General features: G+C 54.1%; 1 long non-coding RNA gene across 2 annotated transcripts, besides 1 other annotated feature; it reads left to right on the forward strand.

The window, feature by feature from the left end:
• Positions 253–975: an enhancer, noted in NCBI's record as "H3K27ac-H3K4me1 hESC enhancer chr7:155201209-155201931 (GRCh37/hg19 assembly coordinates)". NCBI's record gives its function as "activates a minimal SCP1, AML or CMV promoter by ChIP-STARR-seq in primed H9 embryonic stem cells {active_cell/tissue: H9 hESC(primed)}" and the evidence as "EXISTENCE:reporter gene assay evidence [ECO:0000049][PMID:30033119]".
• On the forward strand, positions 6,439–10,568 carry LOC105375594 (uncharacterized). 2 transcript variants are annotated; one of them, XR_928238.3, is made up of 4 exons: positions 6,439–6,669; positions 6,958–7,106; positions 7,674–7,744; positions 9,132–9,261. It is a non-coding gene; the product is annotated as an uncharacterized LOC105375594 (long non-coding RNA). The 2 variants fall into 2 exon arrangements; XR_928239.3 differs by lacking the exon at positions 9,132–9,261 and adding an exon at positions 10,135–10,568 and having other exon boundaries at positions 6,442–6,669.
• Positions 10,569–12,730: the final 2,162 nt, after the last annotated feature.

Raw genomic sequence — 12,730 nt, forward strand, 5'->3', positions numbered from 1 at the left:
GTGTGGGAGTGTGGAGTGTGGGGTGTGGGAGTGTGGGGTTTGGGAGTGTGGGGTGTGGGAGTGTGGGTTGTTGGAGTGTCAGGTGTGGGAGTGTGGGGTGTGGGAGTGTAGGGTGTAGGAGTGTGGAGTGTAGGAGTGTGAGAGTGGGGCGTGGGAGTGTGGGGTGTGGGGTGTGGGAGTGTGTGGTTTGGTAGTGTGGGGTGTGGGAGTGTGGGGTGTGGGAGTTTGAGGTGTGGGAGTGTGGTGTGTGGGAGTGTGGTGTGTGGGAGTGTGGTGTGTGGGAGTGTGGGGTGTGGGAGTGTGGGGTGTGGGAGTGTGGGGTGTGGGAGTGTTGGTTATGGGAGTGTGGGGTGGGGAGTGTGGGGTGTGGGGTGTGGGAGTGTGGTGTGTGGGAGTGTGGGGTGTGGGTGTGTGTGGTGTGGGAGTGTTGGTTATGGGAGTGTGGGGTGTGGGAGTGTGGGGTGTGGGAGTGTCCGGTGTGGGAGTTTGAGGTGTGGGTGTGTCGGGTGTGGGAGTGTCGGGTGTGGGTATGTGTGGTGTGGGAGTGTGGGTTATGGGAGTGTGCGGTGTGGGAGTGTGGCAGGCCACCCTGAGCTGGAGAGAGCAGCGACGGCTCCACCTTCCCTCCAGGGCTCTCTGCTTCTTCCCGCCCCAGCCACCGTCTCCTTGCCTGGCCCGGCGCCCCTCGGGACCTGACAGTTGTCAACCCCTTAGTGTAGATGTTCTTGACCTGCTGTACCTCCTGGGAATAAAGGAGAAATCGCCTAAAGGAATGAGTGTGTAATAGTGAAGTTCCAGACACAGTGGCACCTACGGCGGGGAATTCCTTGGGGTGGGGCAGGAACCCCCTACTGCCTTCACGCTAACCCATAGTGCCGCTCACGGCTGTCAAAGCTTGTCTGTGGCGCAGCTGTGGAGTCCTGGCCGCAGTGGGGAAGGGAACTGACTGCCGAGGCCGGAGGGCAGCCGGCCTGCCGAGGGGAACAGCTGGATCTAGGTCCAGGTCATGGGTAGGTGGGCGCGCAGGCAGACTTTCGTGATGTTGTGCACTTGACGTGTTGTGCTGGACTTCCACAGCAGACAGGAAGGGTGAACAGAGCAGCCCTTCAGAGAGAAGCACTGGGCAGTCACAGGGATTTGAGGGAGGGTGGAGGACACCCTGCAAGCCCTGCGTGGCCACCAACAGGCAGCGCCCTGCAGCAAGGGGGCCACCGTGTCCCAGCCTCTGCCGCCGCTTCTGTGCCATGAGACACTGGTGGGGGCACGTCTCCTGGGGGATGCAGAGCGCAGCACGCGAGGCGGGCTGTGGGCTCACGGGGCTGCCCCCTCCTAGCCTGGCCCCCAGTATCCGCAGAGTCCCTCCTCCCGAGGCTGTGCTCACCTGGCTCTCACCTGGTTGGTGTTTGCTCAGCACCTCAGCCAGGGGCCAGGAGCCGCACAGACAGACTCCCAGGGTGCAGGGGTTTCATTTGAAAAGATCAAGAACGAAACCCAAGCGGACTCGGTTGCTCAGAGCCATCAGGCCATAGCTTTGAGTGGCAGTCCGGGTGGTTCAGTGACTTTGAAATGGTTTCAGGATGGTGTGTGTGTGCTTGTGTGTCTGCACGTGTGTCTGAGTGTGCTTGCGTGTCTGTGCTTGTGTGTGAGTGTACTTGTGTGTGCTTGTGTGAGTGTATCTCTGTGTGTGAGTGTACCTGTGCTTGTGAGTGTGTCGGTGCTTGTGTGTGTGCTTGTGCGTGTCTGTGTGTGAATGTGTTTGTGAGGGTGTGTGCGCACGCATGTGAGAGCGCAGGTGTCTGTGTGTATAGAAGAGTGTGTTGTGTGAATGCATGCATGTGCTTACCCTTTGTATCCCCCACCTGCTTCCCTGCCTTGCCCACGCTCATGCGGGGAGGGGGCGCGGGGAGGGGGCGCAGGACGGGCCTGGTCCAGGCGCACAGGTATCCTTGGAGAGGGGCCACGCTCCAATGCCCAGGCTCCACTTCACGCACCCTTTGGGACTCCCTGAGGACCCTGCACCTGGGCCAGCCAGCAGCCTGGTGACGCGGGGATCATGCTCCCATGCTAAGGAGAGAGCCAAGGGTCAGGAGAGAGCCAAGGGTCAGCAGGAATGCACAGATGGCCGCGTCTGAAGCCACGGAGTCAAGTCTCCCCTTCCTGCCCTGCGTCACCTGGCTGATGACTTACCTGCACCGCACCATGCAGAGGAAATTGCTCAGATAGCATCTCTCCTGGAAGCAGGGCTGCAGAGATCTGAGGGGTAACCCATCCCCTCTGCTCCCCTGTCCCAGAAGCAGGCTAGTCCTTGTAAGTTGCATTGCCTTAGGGGAGATGACATTCCTCGCCAGATGCCCTTCTTCTTGTAATTACCATGAATAGGAATGCAGCCCCCGCTTCTCCAGACCTGGCCAACTGGGGGATAGCTCCTGGCTGGAAGCCCTGTTGCATATTGTATCAGTTTCCTAGTTTCCTGTGGCTGCTGTAACAAATTACAAGCTTAGTGGCTTGGAACAGCACGCATGCATTACCTTACAGTCCCGGAGGCCAGAGGGCCGGCCCAGGTCTCACTGGGCTAAGGTCAAGGTGTTGGCCAGGCTGGGTCCTTCTGGAGGCTCTGGGAGGGGAACAGTTTCCTGCCTTTTCCAGCTTCTCGGGTTGCCCACATTCCTTAGCACATGGTCCCTTCCTCCATCTTCACAGGCAGCAAAGTTGCCTCTGTCTGGCCATCTTTCCTAGTCACACCTGCCCCTGGCCTTAGCTAGGAAAGACCCAGGACACTCTCCTGTCTCCAGGGCCTCAGTCTCATCTGCAAAGTCCCCCGGGCCACACAAGGCAACAGACCCACAGGTTCTAGGGATTTGATCATGGACATCATGGGGAAGCCATTGTTCTGCCAACATCTAATAATAGAGACCCCCAAGTTTCCTCCCTCTTCTTGGGCCAGGAGTCCCCTGGGGCTCCCTGCCTCCTCACTAACCACTGTGACCTTGCTCCAGGGCCCGTAATGTGCCTCTTCCTCACTGTGACCTTTGCCAGTTCCCGACCAAGGCCTCCCCACCACTCTTACCTCCTTTTCCCAGGAAGAGGGGGTCCCTCCAGGTCATCTGGGGGGTCTCTCCCCTCCTGCTTTCCCACAGCCTCCCTCTGAGGAACTCGGTGAGCCTTCCTCAGAAGGCCTTCCAGAGACCCCTTGCAAAGCCCAGCCCTAATGTGCCGTCCCCCACCTACCACTGAGGCCCCACAGGGCTCACCCACAGCAGACACTCACTGCAGATGTGGAGGTGCCTTAGTGCCTCCCCCTTATTTGACAGTCTTAAACATATGCCCTAAAACCCAACTGTCAGCCCCAAAGATGACCACCACCCATCCACCACATTGCTGGAGCCACAGAGCGACCAAGGGCTGACCCCTCCAGCCAACAGTGTGATCTGGGGAGTTACTCAGTCTCTCTGTGCCTCAGTTTTCTGGTCTAGGAAATGGGGATGATAATAATAGTATCAACCTCATAAGGCTGCTGCGAAGCTTAACTGAAATAATATGAATATTCGGCATAGCAACATGCTCAGTAAAAGTTAGCCATCATCATCACCATCATCATGGCCATCATCATCACCATCATCTTCATTGCCATCATCTTCATCACCATCATCATCACCATCATCTTCAATGCCATCATCATCACCATCATCGTCATCGTAATCTTCATCACCATCATCATCACCATCATCATCGTCATCTTCATCACCATCATCATGGCCATCATCATTGGTATTATTATGAGAATGCAGGTGGTCCCCTGCCAGGACCCGGCCACACAGAAATCAAAGGAGCTAAATGAGAAAGAGGAGCCCCGGGTCTGAGTTGGATTCTGCCACCAACAAGTGCTGGGGCCTGACTGCGTCACTTGTCCCTTGCAGATCCTCCTTGCCTGTGAAGTGGAGTGATGATGCTTTGCCCATGTCACGTGACGGGGTGAGACTCACACATACTAAGCCTGCAACAAGGTCTGAGAAGCCAGAAGCGCAACACAAATAGCGTGGAAGCGAGAGGTGTCCGGAGCAAGGCAGGGCGTTAGAGACGAGAGCAGGCCATCCCACCCCAGGGCCTCACAGCCCGGGCATCCCTGGGCATCCCTCCTTGGATGCTTAGAATAGTCAGGAATGTTCTCACCTCATTCTGTCACCCCTGGAGAAACAGAGGCACAGCAGGGTAGACTGCATGCCTCAGGCCCCCCAGCTGCATGTGGAAGAGCCAGGTCTCCACATGCCGGAAGCAATTCTTGCCTCTCTATGCTGCATGTCGTTCCTGTGACGACAGTGAGATGTCACCTCTGCAGACAGGGACAGCGTGTAGAGCGTGGCTCCATCCCATGCAGGAGGTGCCTGGAGGGCTTGGGACCTGGAATCACCCAGGCCCTGCCCCGGCCCTGGAGAACCTCAGCATCACGCGGCAGACCTGGATGTGGACCCGAATGATTCCAATATCCTGACATGGAAGGTGGCATCGGGTGTGCACACCCTGCCAGGGAGGACGTGGGAGCGCTGCTGTGCCTTGTGTCTGCAGGCACAGGAAAGCCCCCTAGAGGGCGCTTGATCAAGTCCGGAGACTCGCATCTGCCTGGCAGAGAAGGTGAAAGGGAGAGGTGGTCCCCTGGGAAGTCACAGCTGCCGGGGACCAGTGCACCTGCCGCACAGTGTGTGGTGCAGGGGTGTTGGGAGCCAGGCTGGGAGGGCAGGCGCGTGGCACCCACAGCTTTGCCATTCCCTCTGAGGAGTTTGCAATCCATTCTGTGAGCCATGGGGACCGGCTCACTTCTTAGAAGGCTTACTCCAGCAGCAGGGTGAGGAAGGACAGGGGAACAGGCTGAAGGGGACCCGTTCTGGGCTGCTGTGGTGACAACAGGGGAGGAACCAGAGCAGCCACACCAGGTACCGAGGAGGAGCCGCACCCTGAGATGCGGTCACTGCAGGGAGTGGTTGCTGTTCCCGTCCATGACCTAGGGGTAACCCGTGTGCCTCAGGCCCTGGCTCTGAGGCTGATGGGACATGTGTGTCCTGCCAGGCGTGTAGTAGCTGGGCATCAATGGTGGCTGTGATTCTGATGATGACGAGGGTCTCTGGGGAAGGGAGGCGTTCATTGTGGACGGTTCCTGGTGGCTGGTCAGGGAGTGGACAGGCCCTGGGGTCAGAGAGGCTGGTGGGCCCGGTGGACAAGCACAGGAAAGGCAGGGTGCCAGGGCGGTGAGGGTGCTCCGGCCGTCCTCCAGGAATGAGGCAGAGCACCAGCTCAGCAGGCAGAGAAGCCCTCACCTCTCAAAGCGGTTTCTCGTCCAGGTGAGGTTCTAAGGAAAGCAGCCGCTGGGCAGCAGGGGTGGCACTGACGCCTCACCGACTTCTTTCTCCAATGCTGGGAGCCCACCTGGGTGGGGAGCAAGTCCACGGGAGGGGTCCCTAACTTTCCTTTGTGATGTTCACTCATTCCGCAGATACTGGGTGAGTGCCTGCTGTGAGCCGAGTGCTGTGCTAGGAGCTGGCGGTCAGGGAGGAGCAGGAACGATGGATAGAATGAATGAGCGCGTGGAGGACTCGGCCTTGTCCAGTTCAGGAAGAACGCAATCTTGTCAAGTGTTTGTCATCCATGTGTTCATGCACTCATTAGACAGACATTTACTGAGGCCTCCTCTATTTGGGGCACTGCAGTGAACAAAACAGACAAAAGTCTCTGCCCTTGGAGCTTCAATTCCAGGGATTAAAATGAGTAACGATAACCATTGTTCTTCTGACGCTTTTTTCAGAGCAACCACAAGGTCTTCATCTATGTCTGACTCATCAACGAAGCAACCAAGACCCCATGAGCCACTTCATGAGCTCCAGGGAATAACCAGCACTCATGGGCGGAGTCTAAAACTAATATAAATGCTTAGAAATAAAAATACATGATTTTATCTCTCCTTTTTCCCCTAAAATGTTGGTTTCTAAGGAAACGGAAACATGTTTGACTCTAAAACTTCGATTTTAGTGTTTAGCATTGTGAACCCCAAAATCTGAGACAGGTCTCAGTCAATTTACGAAGTTTATTTTGCCCAAGTTAAGGATGTGTGTCTGTGACACAGCCTCAGAAGTTTTGACCACACGTGCCAAAGGTGGTCAGAGCACAGCTTGGTTTTATACGTTTTAGGGAGACATGAGACATCAATCAACATACGTAAGATGAACATTGGCTTGGTCCGGAAAGGCGGGGCCTCGGTGACATCAATCAACATATGCAAGATGAACATTGGCTTGGTCCGGAAAGGCAGGGCCTCGGCGACATCAATTAACATATGTAAGATGAACATTGGCTTGGTCCGGAAAGGCGGGGCCTCAGTGACATCAATCAACATATGCAAGATGAACATTGGCTTGGTCCGGAAAGGCAGGGCCTCAGTGACATCAATCAACCTATGTAAGATGAACATTGGCTTGGTCCAGAAAGGCAGGGCCTCAGTGACATCAATCAACGTATGTAAGATGAACACTGGCTTGGTCTGGAAAGGCGGGGCCTCAGTGACATCAATCATCATATGCAAGATGAACATTGGCTTGGTCCAGAAAGGCGGGACCTCGGTCCAGAAAGGCGGGACAACTTGAAGCCAAGACAGGAAGCAGGAAAGGGGCTTCCAGGTCACAGGTAGAAACAAATGGTTGCATCCTTTTGAGTTTCTGATTAGCCTCTCCAAAGGAGGCAACAAGAGATGCGTTTATCTCAGTGAGCAGAAGGGTGACTTTGAATAGAGTGGGAGGCAGGTTGGCCCTGAGCAATTCCCAGCTTGACTTTTCCCTTTAGCTTAGTGATTTTGGAGCCCCAAGATTTATTTTCCTTTCACAGCATGTGGCGGTTCTTTATTCTCATAAATGATTTCAAAACATTATGCACTTGGGGGATTTTATAATGAAAAATCGCGGTGTCCTATTAAAGCACAAAGAGGCAAAGCAGAAGCAGCAGACAGGACGTCAAAGAACCAGTGCATGGCTGCGCCGGGCCCCGGGGCTTCCCACACGGGTTACTGTCATCCTTCCGAATCACTGGACTTGAAGCCCAGCATGTTGCTGAGTTTTGCTCCAGAGGTGAGTGGACAAATGTGTCCTGCACCCCCACCCTCCCGACCAGGCCTTAGAGGACCGGGCTGGGAGCATGGGCAGCGTCAGACTCATTCCCCATGAGAGGTGAAATGAGAGACTCACTGACTTGCCAGGGGCAAAAGGCTTCAAGGCCAAGAGGGAGAAAGAATCTGTAGGAAGTTTTGAGGTTTGGAACTGGATTCCTCTTAAGACTGTGATTCTCAGATTCTCTGCAGAACTACAAGAAAATGTCCTCCTTATTGAAAGACAAAATGTGGTACTATGATGAGCAAGCCAAAGTATATATAATCACATATATAGCACAGTGTCACAGCCCTATGGTAAACATCATAGGCTCACTCTGTACCTGCAAGAAGCATTAGCAAAAGGGAACATTTTCCTTTTTCTATAAATTTCCACTTTATATACCCAATTAAATTTTTTTAAAGGTAGTTCTATATGGAATTTTTGGAAAGTTCCAGAAATTTGCAGCCTCAGTTTATCCCACTGTCCTGATACATGGTCCAGAATCATTTTCCTTTCATTTCTCTTTTTTTTCTTTTTGATTCTCAGACAATTGCCATTTGTTATTTAAGTGACAAAGGTAACGCATGCCGGCGGGAAGCAATGCACAAAATGTGAAGGTGAGTGGAGACCCTCCCCAGACCCCCCACCTCTGCCACCACCACAAACACGCACAATCCAAGTGTATCCATGCTTCTGTAGACTGATTTTTGCTATTATTTGTTCTTATAAACATGGGGTCCATATACCAGCTTCCGAGGGCTACCTAACAAAATATCACTGACCAGGTGGTATAGACAGCAGAAGTTTGTTTTCTCCCTGCCCCAGAGGCTGGAGGTCTGAGATCAGGGTGTGGGCAGGGCTGGTTTCTCCTGGGGCCTCCCTGCGTGGCTTGTGGACGCTGTCTCCTCCCAGTATCCTCCTGTGGCCACCCCTCTGTGTGTCCGTGCACTCGCCTCTTCTCGTAAGGACAGTCAGATTGGACCAGGGCCCCACCTCATGACCTCATTTTAGCAGACTGTGTGAGAGAACTGTTGCCCACATTCTCACCAGACAGGCGTATGGTTCTTTGTTCTTTTCTCAACTCTTTCTAAGGAAAATCTCAAACATACACAAAAGTCCAGAGAACAGAACAACGAACCATACTCACCACCCAGCTGCGACCACCATCAGCTTTTACTAATTGTATTGCATCTGTTTCCCTGGCCATTTTCTGGAACATATTTAGAACAAATCCCTGCCAAACATTATGGTATTTCACCAACAGACACCCATACGCATTTCTAAGGCACCAAGAGTTTTTAGCAACCTAGGTGCAATCCCGTTAATTCCTCAATATCAGCAAAGGCCACAAGGCTTCTGCTAGTGAGTGTTAGGCTGTGGAGCACTTCAGTAGGCCTCAATTCCATCTCCCTCTTTGCTAGCGTGGTGGGACCACCTTCAGACCTTTGCTTTTGAGGTAGGAGGTGGGACCTGAGTCCAGAGGCGGGGCTCTTGGACACAGGACCAAATTGAAGACTAGCTGAAACAGGGAGGGGCAGAAAACCAGTGTGCCATGTCAGTTTACCATTGTCACGGCAATACCCGGAGTACCACCCCTTCAATAACCTGACAACCCGGAAGTTACCACCCTTTTCCTAAAAGTTCTGCATAAACCACCCCTAATTTGCATATAATTAAAAGTGGACCTAAACATGACTGCAGACCTGCCGCTAAGCTGCTACCCTGGGCGCACTGCCTATGGGGGAGCCCTGCTTTACCAAGAGCAGTCCCTCCGTTGCCGCCGCTGTGCACGGGGCTTCCACAAAAGCTTCTGCCTCACACCCCTGGCCCGCCCTGGAGTTCTTCCCTCCTGGGCAAGCCCCGATTTTGGTGTTTGCCTGTCCTGCATCGCTTTCATCTGGATTTCCTCCCATGTGAAATTAGCTGTGCAGATCCTTCCCTTTTTTTTTTTTCTATTGAATCATTTTCCTCTTATCAATACGTATGTTCTCTTTCTATATGAAGTTATATGCAGATTCAGAAGAGAAGGCTTCAGGCAAGTTCCTTCTCCAGCCCCTGCTCCCATCTCTCTCTTCCCTGTTTCTCTGGCCCTTGCTCTCATCTCTCTCTGCCCTGCTTGGAGGCATCCAGCCTTCTTCACCACAGGGAACATGGAGCTCAAAAGATAACACACACCTTAATGCTGTTGACAGCTGCCCCAGTGGCAAAGGGACATGTTTTCATCACCTACACCTTGTTTGGCCAGTTAGAGGGCTGTGTTTCTCAGAGTCAGGAAGTCCTGGGCCAGGTGGAGGAAAGAAATGGCGCAGCCACCTCTGGCCTCCTCCTGCTCCTCCTGGATCTGGGAGATGGCGCCCAGCCAAGCCCTCCATGCCCTGCCCGTGAGTGGGATGTCTGACTGCTCTCACCGTCTCTCCTTCTCCCCTTAACCCCAGGCCCAACCCCTCCGGGCTCACTGCTTGTGGTTTTTCTGCTTAGGAATTGGTCCCTGGGTGTAGCCCAGGCTTGTAGGGCCCCGTCCTCCCCAGCCCTGCTCCCCACTGTTCAGGGGCAGCCCCCCCACTCCTCCCACCTGCCGTGGCTCTTTGCTGCACCCTCCCTGGCCCAGTCTTGGCATTCGCCCTTATCAGTTCTCCGTCTTCTTTGAAGCTGAGACAGAGTATTGTCCCCCACTTGCTTGCAGATGCTAAGATGGAGTTTAGAGCACAGGATATTGATCAGGGACCCATGCCTGGGAAAGGGGCAGAGAGAGAAGCCCAGCAAGATGCACCCTGGCCCAGCCTCGGCACCCCCAGGGAGCCCTGGGCTGTGGGGCCTGTTAGAGTTGCTGCAGGTGGGCGGGAAGGGCTGGGCATTCATACCCCCCACAGCTGGTCCCGGGTAAGGTGACCATCTGCAGCTGAGGCAGCCTGAAGGAGGGACAGCTGGAGGTATCTGAGGCTGCTCTCCCAATGCTGGAGGGCAGGGCCTTCCCTGGAGGGATCCGAAGGGGCATTTCCATGCCCAGCTCATACAGGAAGCTTATTGGAGCCTCACATCTGGAAAGCACTACAGACCGCACCGCAGACCGCACGACAGACCGCACCGCAGACCGCTCTACAGACCGGCACATGCGCAACCCTGCCCGGCTGCTCTCCCTCCCTGCCTGGCTGCTCTCCCTCCCTGCCCAGCTGCTTTCTCTCCCTGCTGTGACCAGGCCATTTTGGTGCATTATCTGTGCTCAGCGCTTTCCTCCTCTATTTGATGACTTTTCCAGGCAGTGGGCCTGGGGGTGAAGTCCCCTTGACCTTTGGGCTCCACCCAGGCACCTGGAGCCCCTGGGCTCTTCCCCTGCAGGGAACTGTTAGCATCCTGCACTTTGCCCTCCTCCCATCCTGCCCACGGGAGATGCAGCGTGAACTCCTAGTCCTCAAAAAGGCTTAAAAATTGCTCTACATTTTATGTTTAACGTGTGGTTATGTTAAAAAATTCATAACTAATGACTTGAGGCTTTGTTCTTCTCCGTACTCCACCGGTGAGTCCCTGTGGAGCTGGGCACGTCCCTTGATTTATCTTGGTTTCAGTCTCCTCCTCTGTGAGGAGGTGGAGGAAGGAGCGCTTCTCTTCCAACGCAGGGAGTCACCCATGGGACAGTCTCTGGTCTGTGCACCTGGCTGCTGAGGAGGGAGCAGGAGGGCTGTGGAGGGTCTTCTCCAAGGCCCCAGAACCATGTGATGAGGGCTTCCCGCCGCCAGCACCCAAGTCCTGCTCTGTGGCATGGCAGGCGGAGCCGAGCCTGAGGCAGGGCTCCCAGTTGCTGGATATGAAATCTGTCCTCAAACACTGCCAACTGGCTCATCCCCATGTCGGTGGAAGGCTGGGCCACAGCTCTGTGTGCAGGGAGAGTGGGGGCAGGCGGGCAGCTACTCCCATATGGACCCATGGAGCAGGGCCTTCTGATCCCATTATCCCAGATCAGATCTGCATGAGAGGATCTCCCTCTGCCTGGGGAGAGAAACATAGGAGGACAGCCGTGTTCCCGTTCCACATGGACGCATGACCAAAACATATGCACACATGCCACACGCATGCATACATAGGCATTTGTGTTTACACACCATGCTCACACAAAAATAGACATGCACACGCACTTGCACATGAACACCCACACACACACACGTGCAAACACACAATGCAGCCATGTACACACATGCACGTATGCTCACGCATGCACAATACACATCCATAGACATGCATTTACACATGAACACACACATGTGCACACAAACACACACACACACCCAAAAGCTCCAAGCTCCAAGTAAGCAAAGCCCTGAAAGCATGGGGTACATTGCAGAAAGCCCAGAATTCTCCTCCCCACTTAAGTCTCCAGAGCCACCAGGGAGGCGATGAGCCAGGGGAAGGACTTACTGCCTCTGGGTACCTTAGCCAGGCCTCTAAGAACTCAGCAAACCGGGACAGGGGATATATTTAAAGGAATTTTATTATGTTTTTAAAGATACCTTTTTCCTGTCAGGCCTGTGGTTTAATAAATACCTAGGGCTTACCCTTAAACTCTCCAAGGCTCAGGGCTAAGGACTTCATGACAGGTTTGCCCCTCATCTGCGAAGTGGCCTGAATCCCAGCTGTGAGAGCTGATATCAAAGCTCACTCGTCGGCTCCCAAACAAGAGAGGAGCACAGAGAAGCCGGCAAGAGAGATGAGGAGGGTTTGGGAGAATTAGCTGAGGAGACGGCAGCCACACATCAGGAAAACGCGCCAAGAGAAGGGCTTCAAACATAAATCTTTGAGGATAGACAGTCCCTCTAGTTACAAAGCAAAGATGTGCAAAGCTTGGTTCTCTGTTTTCACAGAAGCAGCCTCTTGGGCCCCAGCACAACTGAGCAGGCTCAGTCACGGTCAGCTCAGGGATGAGTAGCTACATGGACAGGCTTCCCATGAGGCCAGGTGGCCGTGGCAAAGGCTCCTGGCAAGGCTGCCTCCCCTGCCCACAGTGCAAATTTCCGAGCAAATTGCCGAGGGCCCTTGCCCTGATTTCATGATCAAACTCCTTGCAGGCGGAGAGCTGCCCTCCCACTGCTCTTCTGCATGTTCCTGGGGCACATGAGGGTCCTCAGCCTCCCTCCCCAGTGGCTCTTCTGGTTCTCTTGCCAACAAAAGTGATGTCTCATGATTTACACAGCTTTCCCATGAGTCTCACAATGGGTAATTGTATGTGTCACCTTGACTGGGCCACAGGGTACCCAGATATTTGGCTAAACATGGTCTGGGTGTTTCTATGAGGGTGTTTCAGATGAGATTAGCATTTGAATCTATGGACTCAGAAAAGCAGATGGCCTCCCCAGTGTGGTGGGCCTCATCCAATCCATTTGGGCCTGAATAGAACAAAAGACTGGGCAACAGAGAATTCACTCTCTGCCTGACTGCTTGAGCTGGGACATCTATCTTCTCCTGCCTTCAGGTGGGGACATATGCCATCAGCGCTCCTGGTTCTCTGCCTTCAGTCTTGGACTGACCCACACCATAGCTTCCTGGGTCTCCAGTGTGCAGACAGCAGAATGTGGACCTTCTAGGCCCCTGAAATAGATGAGCCAATTCCTTAT

The sequence above is a fragment of the Homo sapiens genome, chromosome 7 (genome assembly GCF_000001405.40).
Source record: "Homo sapiens chromosome 7, GRCh38.p14 Primary Assembly".
Taxonomy (NCBI): Eukaryota; Metazoa; Chordata; class Mammalia; order Primates; family Hominidae; genus Homo; species Homo sapiens.